Genomic DNA, 11,554 nt, shown 5'->3' with positions numbered 1-11,554 from the left:
TCTAACCCCGAAGAGATGCATAGTATTTTAACAGAGCGGAAAAACTAAATCCTATCTAATATCTTTTTTAAAAATTGTGGCATGCTACTCTTTTACGTGACTGTGTTCAAACATAAAAATTTCTAAAGTTTACTACATGCATTTCGGCTGAATTTCTTCCAAATAGATTTTTCTTTTTTTTTTGTATTTGATATTTTCAAGGCAATTTCAGGGCAAAATTTGTATTATATTAGACTCTATTATCAAATTAACACAACTACAGTGTTTTGATAATGGCTTTTGGTAAAACTCAAAAGCACTTTTATACAATAACATAATTGTAATCATTTATTCTAAATATAATTGAGTAGCTCATAATGCTTATTGTGTTGCTGATAGTGATCTTTGCTCAGATTTTTAACCTATTATTTTTAAAAACAAAAACACAAAAGCATAATACAGTCATATACCATAAGTTGAATTGTAAGCAGTTTTATCGTACTAGAGGGCATCATTCTCTTCTATCATAAAATATTTATATGGGGTTTAGCTTCTAAAGATTTTTTGACTTTATGGTAAAATTTATGGGTAATTTAATGTAACCTGAGAAACCTGAAATTCAGTATCTTTTAAATGAAATATAGAATATCCAATATAAAAGTGCCATTATGTTTTGATTTCAATAAATTGTAGATGTGTGACTATTTTTGCTCATTAGCCCTTACTTTGTCTGATACCGTAAGTAGTAATGACATAACAACAACTAAAAAAGCTAATCACTTTGAAAAAATGTTCCTCCCTTCATTGATAGTTGGAATATAACAGCGCTACTACTCAGTTCTTTGATTTGACTAAGCATGAATGAGTCTCTATAAGGTAATTAAGCCAAAATAGTACCTAAATTCTCAAGGATAATAATCTGGCAACAAACCCACAATAATATTTAGCCTTTATGTGAATATACAACAACATAGTATAAAATTTAATTTGGAGTACATTTTTTTAAAGACTAAAAATGTTAGTATAATTTTTAAATTTTATTAATATTTTAATATTTAAAAAGTAATGCTTTGAGCCATAAAGCCTTTTTGCTTGTGGCTACATCAAGTTTTCATTTAGAAATTATAAATATTTCAAAAATAACTGAAATCTTGCTGGTTGTAAATTATTGCTTTTCTTCACTATGGTATGTGACAGTGTAATTCAAATTTTAAATGTAGATTTTTAAAGACTGTTTCTGTAAGCACTGTAGAGTCATGTTTAAACGGGCTAACTGTGGTCAGTTTGAAAAAGTGCATGAACTTGGTAAGTTCTCTACTGCTTTGTTACTTTGCTGTTTTAGAAGATTAATTTCCTAACGGATGTTGGAGCTAATATATGATTATACCCAAAGAAGAAAAAAAAATAGAAAAACAGCTCTCAAATGAAAAAAAATAAAAACTTTGTGTGCATGTATGTGTGTATATTAACCTAACACAAGTTTATAGATTTAAAAAGTATGTGCAGTTAAAGATATCCACTTTGTAAGTGCTGCATATCTCAAAAGAGAAAACATAAAGAATGATGACTGGATACTCCTTTTCATTTGTTAATCGGAAATCAAATAAGACATTTCATAAAGAGAAATGATAGACTTTAATATCTAAAATACAATGTATTTCATCTATGTTTTTATTAGGTAAAAATTAACCATTCCATATAACAAAATAGTAATTTTTAATTACAATCTTAAAACAGAAGGAAGTTAAACAACTCAAGTGAAGTTAATAACAGCAGTTTTTGACAATATTAGTCCTTAAAAGAAACAGTAAAATATTTGGTTTCTATAACAGTCAAAACAATTAGACTGATTAAACCATAAAAATTAATAACTTATAAAAGAATCCATTATGATTCATGCATTGTATGTATTATACCACTTTAAGTTATACCATATTGAATTCAAACGTATAGTTTTGAATTAAGAAATACATTCTTTGCTCTTATTTACTTGTTATCATAACAATTTAAACTGTGTTACAACTAAAATGGTAAAGGCAGTTGTAATAAATACCTGAGGAAGATTTTGAAAGTTTTCCTCTCTAAGAATTAACAGAATTATTAGAGTTATTTCCTAATGCAGTTGGCTCACCTTATCTGTAGGTTCTACATCCATGGCCAAGAAATTGCCGACTGAAACTCTGAAGATGTACAGACTCTTTTTTTTCATGTAATTATTCACTAACCAGTATGGTATAACAACTACATAGCATTTACATTGTATTAAGTGTTATAAATAATCTAGAGATGACTTAATGTATACAGGAGGATGTGCATAGATTATATGCAACTACTATGCCAGTTTATATCAGGGACTTGAGCATCTGCAGATTTTGGTATCTATAGGGGTAACTGGAACCAATCCCCCACAGACACTGAGGGATGACTGTAATTATTTTATTAAAAAGGGAGAAAAAAACTATATTAATATAAACTAGTAATTATGAGATCAGATGCCATTCTTCCATTGAGAATAACTTTTTGCAATGAAGACAGAATCTGCTTTATCTTACTCTGAAATCTGTTACTGCTGGCTGGTTAGGGTAATGTGTTGAGGAATCACAACAAAGCTCAGAGATGAAGTATGCTGTGTGGATTCACCATGTCTATAATGGGAAAAAGAAAGTGGTGGTATCTGTGTTGAGAATATGCTAACCTTGTTTTTATAGATTTTCCCTTAATCTCATAACTATTTCCTAAAATTTACTTTCTGTCATGGTGGGTTCAAATACACAACGTACACAATGACAAAAACTCCTCTGTGGTAGATACTTCTCTAACAAAACTTTAATGAAATATGGTATATTATAAAAGATTATTAGGTGTGACATTTGTAAATTATACCTAAAATAATATATTCTAGTTAAATGGACATAAGAAGAAAATCCACAGGTTGGATCTATATAGTGATTACCATGTAAGTGCTTGCTTGTATCAAAATATCAGTATAGTGATTTATTCTTTTATTTTCCCCTAGAAAATGATTACTACTACTGTATTAATTTCCTAAGGCCTGATCATTCTCTGAGAAATGGCAAATTCCAAAATTTTAAATAAATTAAACATTAATAATGCTTTTCAATAACATAATTTGTGTCAAAACCACTGTTTAAAAATAAAATAAATTTTGTCATCTGGTCTATTTTATAAAAAATTTAGTGCTAATTTTTGTTTCTGAATGGATGTCTTTATACTCTGAAGATTTATAGGCATTATTTTTTAGCATTATTCTATTGCTCTTCTTAATGGAACACCTAAGAAATAACATTTATGTAATAGGATATATATTAATTTTTTACTATAGTTATAAACATTAACTGTAAGAATACAGTGCATTTTATTTAGTTTTTAAGGAGATTTATTTTTCGTACACAAGTGATCAATTTGTCACAACATGACAAGTTATTGATAACAAGTATTTTAACTTACAGGTATGATAAAAGTCTAACATTTACAAAATGGGGATATTACTATATAAAAAATTGAAAGTATTAGTTTTTATGTAAAATATTAGTTTCTTCATTCTGATACAGTGCTAAACTTAATGTAAAGCCAAACTTCAGGACCTACTCTAGACATAAAATAATTTTCATTTCCATGTCTCTAGAATCTAAAATGCTAAGTAAATTTTCTCTATTACTTTTCGTCAAAATAACTTAAAGTATTAAAAGACAACCTAATGACAGTAATAACATTTTTCTTTCCTAAAAAATATTTGGTATCTGATTTAAAGACATGAATAACACAATAGTAACAACTTAAAGATCGACAAGATATACTAAAAATGATATTTGGGCATCATATCTACATAATAATTGTGAAACAACTGTTTTCCTAATAACTGAGAAGCAATCAGTAACTTTTTCATAAAAGGACTTTCATAGCTTCTAAAATATGGAATTCAGCACTGTAAAGCAGAAACACTAAACATGTCAAAACACCTAGCGTGGTATAGGTAACCACAAATCTGCAAATGACACACTGTGCTGTAGATAGCAGGCCGTCCTAACACAATTTGGTCATGGTAAGGTTTAATTTATGTAATTAAATTAAATAAAAAATAAGAGTATTAATTTAAAGCCATTTCAGGTTCACAGCAAAATTGAGAGGAAGGTACAGTGATTTTGTTATTCTTAAGAATTTCCTCATTATTGTAGAGTTATCCAGAGTCTAAATACTAAGACAATAAAGTTGATTAAATTATTTTAAAGACATGACATGAAGCATGTACATTATCTTTAAGGGGTTTTCTTTTTTTCTTCAATAGATATCCCAAATATACACACAATCCTATTTATTTGGGTCTAGGATGTAAATATAATTTAACTGTGTGCTAAGTGCTTTAGGTAGCACAAGCATTTATCTATTGTAAAATGAAAATTCAATTGCCATCAAATCAGAATTTTGATTTCAGTCAGAAATGCAATAAATTATGCCATAAGGAATATATTTGTATACATTTTGTCTCAGATATTTTCTCATGTGGTATTGTGAAGGGTAACAAGTATAATATTATCTGTAAAGAATTTAAAAAAATATTTTTAAATATAACTAATAGTATATACTGATTTTGACAGTTTTCTTTCCAGAACTCAAAACGAAAGCTATTTTTAAAAATTAGGTGATTTTGATAACTATTAAACTTTAATCAATGCATTAAGAAACAGGCAGCTGGCGATCTAATGCATAAGTTGCTCTTTCCTTACTGTATTTTTCAGACCACTTGCGAGTCAGTTCTAGGTAAAGACCTGGTTTATGAGGACGGTAATCTAGGTACACTGTATTACTGGTTCTTTTGGGAACAGCTTTTTCAATCTGAGTTCCTTCATGCCACTCATTAAAAGAGGTGATAGAAATTAAGCTGGGGCGTGTCTGAAGTGCGGCACTCAGACCAATTTCATAATACTTCCCATTGATTCGGTTCCGAGTGTTTTGCGTGTTCCATGGACGGATGCTGGTATCTATGTATCCTGGGCCCACACTTGGGATAAATATTAAGTTGTATTTATCACAAAATAATTTTAGGCTAGCCCAATTCTGATGTGATGAGCCATAAGTAAAGCCATTTGTGGCAAAATATGTGTAAATTCCATCAAAACCACTTTGAAGAATATCATACTTATGTTTTTCTTCTACCAGAAGGGCAATAAACAGTCCATCATAAGGAGAATTGCGAATACTCCGAGACCCTGAGGTGGTTAACAGATTGGCCCATTTTTCAGGCTTGGTAATATAGGAATCATAGACATAAAACATAGGAAGAGCATTGCCAGTCTTCGTCTTGTACCTGTAAAAGGCCGGATGATTTCCATATCTAGAAAATAAGCATATATAAAAGTGAAATGAATATTCACAACTAATTTGCCACAGACAAAAACTGTTTACTGAAAATGAAGGAGTCAGTGCAGTTTGAGCACACTGCTCCATTTCTTAGGGGAATCAGTTGTGTAAGTGTAATAATTAAAAATGCATTTTTAATTTTACACATTAGAAAATGAGATACTGGATGCATTACCAAACAAGTATTAACCATCTCATATTGAGGTTTACAAATGATGACTAATGCCATAAAAAGCCTATGTCTCTACATTATAAATAATACTCTACATAATACCTAAACTGCTTTTTTATCTATCAGTGATAAATGTTCTACTGTTGCTGACAAGTTTCTTTGTAAGACTATGGCATCTGTCACAGACTATTATCAGTAAAATTCTTTCAAAAAATGAAAACTGTATTAATAAATTCTTTTTGATCAGGCTAGATATAAATGAAAATATCAGCTCTGGGTCTACTGTGTTAAAAGAAGTAGTTCACTTTTAATAATCTGAACCTTCTTTTTAAAAAGATAAAGCTATATTCTGAAGGTTTAGAAAATAATGTCATTTTAAAATATCAAAACTACAGAAATCATAAATAGCCTATAAACCTGTAAAACAGTAAAAACAGCAATCTTCCAAAAAGAAAGTGAATTATAAGAAACTTCAGCAATGTTCTTCGAAATGATGGTGACATTCATTACAATAACAATTTAATTTTATTAAAAATGGAATAATCATAAATCATTCAAATCTCAAATATAATTTAATGTACTATTCTTAAAACAATAATTATCACTGGATAATATAACAATATTTATAAATATTGAAGAAACTCACTTGTCTATAATATACTTGACATTTTTGTACATGTTTTGATCATCTCGATTGCTATATGGTTCTATGTGAAAAGTAACCTAAAACAAACAATAAAATCAGTTAGGGGATAAATTATCTATAATGTAAAATTAGAAGTATACTTAATATATTTAATAAAGTAACTGATTTAATCACCTTAATTAAAGATGAATATTTATTGAACACAGAAACTACCAGAGAATTTTTACCAATAAAATTTACTGCTAAATAACATGCTAAACATTTTATATTATTATCTTGGTTAATCTTCACAACTCCCTAAGGTATTTCTGTTTTCTTAGTGAGGTAATCAAAGATAGACAGAACCTTAAGAAAGGTTCAGTAAGTTGTTCCAGGTCACCCAGTTTGTTGGAGGTAATATTGATGATCTGAATTCCGAGTTCAAATGCTTAACTGCTGTGCAATGCTTCTTTTTATGTTTACTCCTTATAAAAATGTTTCTTACATATTTGTATCCCATATAATATATATAGGAAATACTCTATATTCAGATATATGTTTCTTTTAGGAAAAAGACCAAAAAAATATGGTCCAGAAAAATCTGGATTTTTTTCAGGCATGTGACCATTAAGCTTAAATTTAAATAGAAGTCATTAGCAAATTTATTTACATATAAATTCTTCCATATCATTAAAACAGCATTTTACAAAATAATATACATTAACTTCTATTAAAGAATTTATAATGAAATCGCTTAAAAATAATATCCACTAGTGTTATAAAGGACATTTTTCATGATGCCTAGGTATTTATGGTTTGGATATCCCATACACACACACACACACACACACACACACACACACCTACATACATATATACGCACACATACATACATTATATATATATATGTAAACATAGAGAGCAGTAATTACAAATATTTTTAAAATACTGTGCACAGACTAAAATTTTTTAACTTAAGGTTGGCTATACATAAATCAAGACAAACTAATTATGGCTAGTAAAACCATTCTGTATGCTACTTCTAACTAGTAAGGTAAAAAATACAGAAGATACTTCTCTTAGATGACAATCTATTTCAGATTCATAAAACAAAGAATGAGGATTTTCACTTTTATTCCTAGTTTTACTGACTTACCAACATCAACTAAAAATCTTTATGGCAGTCTAATAAATGTATTGATACTGTTTTAATTTTAGGTTTCAGGCTCTATGATGTATTTATGGAACTAGAGACTTCTATTGCAATATGAAACTCCTCTGTTTTCAATTACCCAATTAAAGCAAAATGTATTTTACATTAATCAGTGCTACTTGTTTTCACATAATTAATTTTAAAGTTAAATAATATTTAAAAAAAATATAATTTTCTACTTTAAATGAGATTACAGTAATATTATAAAAGTAAGTTTCTGTCATAAAAAACTAAGGTCAAATTAATTTTTGCAGCATATTGTTAGTATTGCCAGGGTAGTAACTGCTAGGGCAGCTAGATTTCTCAATAACTTTGGTATTTGCTTTTTAAATTCAGTTGAAAGCAAATTGCCTAGTGTATAGGTATTTTCATACTATTACATAATGTTTCCTTGGGTAATTCTTCCTTCAGTTACATCACTGTGTTTTCTAAATTTCCATTTTATACATAAAGGACACCATATTTAAGCAATATCCAACTTGAAATATCCTATATCAAAATGAATTTGCTTTTACAGCTGCAAACAACAAATAGCATGCTATTTTTGTAAAGCGCAGATCAATATATTTAAAGTAAATATAGTATTGATAAGTATAAAATATTTAAAATTTTCCCTCATGTATTTCTAATTTCTTAATTATAATAAAATTACTTTGCAATTTTTTTTTTTTTTTTTTTTTTTTTTGAGACGGAGTCTCGCTCTGTCGCCCAGGCCGGACTGCGGACTGCAGTGGCGCAATCTCGGCTCACTGCAAGCTCCGCTTCCCGGGTTCACGCCATTCTCCTGCCTCAGCCTCCCGAGTAGCTGGGACTACAGGCGCCCGCCACCGCGCCCGGCTAATTTTTTGTATTTTTAGTAGAGACGGGGTTTCACCTTGTTAGCCAGGATGGTCTCGATCTCCTGACCTCATGATCCACCCGCCTCGGCCTCCCAAAGTGCTGGGATTACAGGCGTGAGCCACCGCGCCCGGCCATTACTTTGCAATTTTAATTAATGATGTGATCTAGTCTCCATCTCTCTATTCCATTTGGAAAAATCAATTAGATCAATGTTAAAATAAATTTTAAAATAACAGAATTCTATACATAAAATGAAATGTCTTTCTTATCTTTAAAGAATAAGAATATAAACATTCCCTCATTTCATGTTTTTAATTTTGACCTTTCCTGTCTCTTCCCTACCCTGCATTTTAATAACTTTAATAAATAAATTTTAATAAAATGAACTTTTTTGAATGAAAATCTGATAACTTTCTCCTTCTCCAACTCTATTCTCTACCTTCACCCCTGCACACTCCCCTATCCCCTGCCACAACAAAATTGAGGTAGGTCTTCCTACTCCTATGTGGTGCCATAATACCTCATACTTTTCTCTTCCTGAAATTTACTTGTCTTTGTGTCTGACCTCCAGTAGATTACAAGGCATTTTAGGGAAAGAGATAATACTTCATCCTTCTTCTTAATATTGTCAGCATCTGGGACTGTATCTGACACGTAGCAGGTGCTAAATGAATGAATGCATGCATAAATAAATGGACTAATGATTTGCATGCAAAAACAAACAACAGTTAAACTCTTAAGTCTGTCACTTATACTGGATTTAGGTAAGATTCCCAAAGTTTCTGCCATGAATTCACAATATTCATTTAACAAGGAAAAAGAAAAAGGAGAGGCCATGACTAATATAACATGTTTCAAATGTAGGTGAAAATCATTTAAAAAAGAATCACGGACATACTTATATTCATGTTTCACATGGTTGAAATCTGCATAAGCCTGAAAAGCAGATAAAATGACTCTAGAGCCATATGCAAAGAAATAATGGATGTTGATAAACCTAGTATAAGAAATGTGATTTCTGCATAAAGTAGAAAGAAAATATGCTACTTTAAAATAACATACTAAATTTATTAAAATGAAAGAAGATCACCAGGGCTGAGTTGGTTCTTTCCCCTATAATCCTAAGCAAAAAAAAAAAAAAAAAAAAAAAAAAAATCACTGAATCTGCCTAATTTTCTTTTACTTAGATGAATGATTTAATTCAGTCAAGTTTTGATTAGATAATGCCATGTAACAACCCCACAATCTCAGTGGCTCTAAAAGACAAACATTTGCTTTTCGAACATAAAATCTATGAACTGGCTTATGATGGTTCTGCTCCAGGCTGGTTCAAATCAGCTCCACGTGTCTGTCATTCTGAGTCCTAGGCAGAAAGGGGCATGCTTTTCTTATAAAAGAGAATAAGAGCATAATCATGCAAGCACATAGTATACATTATCTCTTCTCACATCTCATCAGCCAAAGCAAGCCATAAGGCCAAACCCAACAACAACAGGGCAGGAAGTATACTTACTCTTTGCATGCAGGGGAAGGAAAACCAGATTATTTGCTAAACAATGACGGAATCTACCAAATATTTCTGTCATGTCTTACTCAAAAAATTGTTCCGTTGCTGTGTTCTTAATGGTGCAGGATATAGAGGAAGGAATCCAGCCCTGATTTTTACACTCTCTGCAAAACCAGCCTACTAAATGACAGTTATAAGTGCAACAGCCTTTGCTCTAGCAAACATGCAGACAAGTATACTTTAAAAGAACAGAAACTAAATCGCTTTGAAAAATCAAGATTTAAATTTTAGTTTCACTCATTTACACTTCCAAAAAAAAACCTAGTCACATTTGCTAAAGATAATGAAAAATAACTAAAGCACCAATCATTTCCTTTTCTTGCATGTTTGTTTATAATTTAAAAGGCACTTACTTAAAATAACTCTTGGTTGAAGTTAACAAATCAAAATTACAATTACAAAATATTTAATGACTAATATTAGTAAAAACATTATATAATCAAAATGAATGAACTATAACAAAAGTTTAACTGTGAGACGGATTCATTCCCTAAAAATTCTCCATCCATTTAGTATTTCCATGCTTTGAAGACTAGCAAGAAAAAAGAGATGTTACTAATGAACGCATTTTACACTTAAAAGTTTTAGATGTGGTCAGTTATGTGCATTGGAGGCTCCAATTTGTCAGCACACAATCTACAACATCATTAATCTTTTCCTATCAGATTGCCTTAGCACACTGAATAATTCTAGTAAGGTACTGTCATTCATTAAACATATTAAAATTTCCTTATATTAGCAAGAAAAGGGAAAGTTTTCCATTCTTTAAAAAAACAGGATTTACTGCATTTTATTGAGTTAGGAAAAATGTCTGTTCCACAACAACAGAAATCATAGACAAATCCAATAAAACTATCTTATGGTTTCATTGTCATTGTACAAATGAAGGGGATAAGCCAAGAAGATCAAGGAACTAATATAAGATTCCAGAGCTACTCAGTTAGAACAAGCTCCAGTCTCATGATTCCAGGTCTATTCTTTGTCTATACATAGTTCCTCACCATACACGAGGCCAAGAAACTGTTCTAAAAATTTTGGAAAACATTAGTCTATCGTGTTCCAAGTTTTTCTGATCATTAGATATAAAATCCCTAGCACAGAGAGATCAAGTATGCTGGCAACATTAAATAGGCAATTAGTGGTCGAGCTCTTTGCCACACTCTCCTTCTCTACACAGACACTTTAAACAGGAGAAAAAGCCAACCAATCCTCATATATCATAACATTTTCATTTTCTCTTTCAAAACTTCCTGAAAGTACTAAAATAGCCAGTTTCTTGAGCTTCCATCTTCCAGGATTTTGGCAGGGCCTGGACAGAAAAGCAGCTCTTGGGCTTGTTTTGTGGAAGATAAATCAATCACTTACCCAACCTCAGCCTGGGCACCAGAACCTGGAGGCTTGCCTATTTGCAGATTTCAAATGCCAATAAGAACTCACTGAAAGGCACCAAGGGACATGGCAGGTGACAGCTCTTGCTAGACAGCTAATTTGAGAGATGCTGTCTTAACAGTTTCAGGATAGTAAATCAGAAAGAAGAGGCAGCTTTATGGACAGAAATAAAAAAATGCTTGCCTATTTAGCTCTTTCTCACTCCCTACAGTTCCATTTCTATTCTCCAATAACTACTCAATCTCTAGGCTGCAAAAGGAAAATTAAGACAAAACTAATGTTTCACATTTTTATTTGAAACGAAATATTTCAACAGTGGTCCATAACATATCTTACAGGGCTCAATTACCAGTATTGGACAAACCAGATTGTCCTCCATTAGAATATAAC

The 11,554-nt window shown here is 30.8% G+C and overlaps 1 protein-coding gene across 2 annotated transcripts in view; it reads right to left on the bottom strand.

Moving 5' to 3' along the window:
- Positions 1 to 1,627: 1,627 nt before the first annotated feature.
- Positions 1,628 to 11,554, bottom strand: part of MANEA (mannosidase endo-alpha) — a 31,918-nt gene continuing 21,991 nt past the window's right edge. For both annotated transcript variants that reach the window (NM_024641.4, XM_005267147.4), the window contains exons 4-5: positions 6,177 to 6,253; positions 1,628 to 5,332 (exon numbers count right to left, since the gene is read on the bottom strand). In NM_024641.4, coding sequence (NP_078917.2) covers positions 4,675 to 5,332; positions 6,177 to 6,253 — 735 coding nt within the window. In that variant the 3' untranslated portion in view covers positions 1,628 to 4,674. The remainder of the gene's footprint in view (positions 5,333 to 6,176; positions 6,254 to 11,554) is intronic.

The sequence above is a fragment of the Homo sapiens genome, chromosome 6 (assembly GCF_000001405.40).
Source record: "Homo sapiens chromosome 6, GRCh38.p14 Primary Assembly".
NCBI classification, from domain to species: domain Eukaryota; kingdom Metazoa; phylum Chordata; class Mammalia; order Primates; family Hominidae; genus Homo; species Homo sapiens.
The sequence above is the reverse complement of the archived record's forward strand: the minus strand, read 5'-3'. Positions and strand labels throughout refer to the sequence as shown.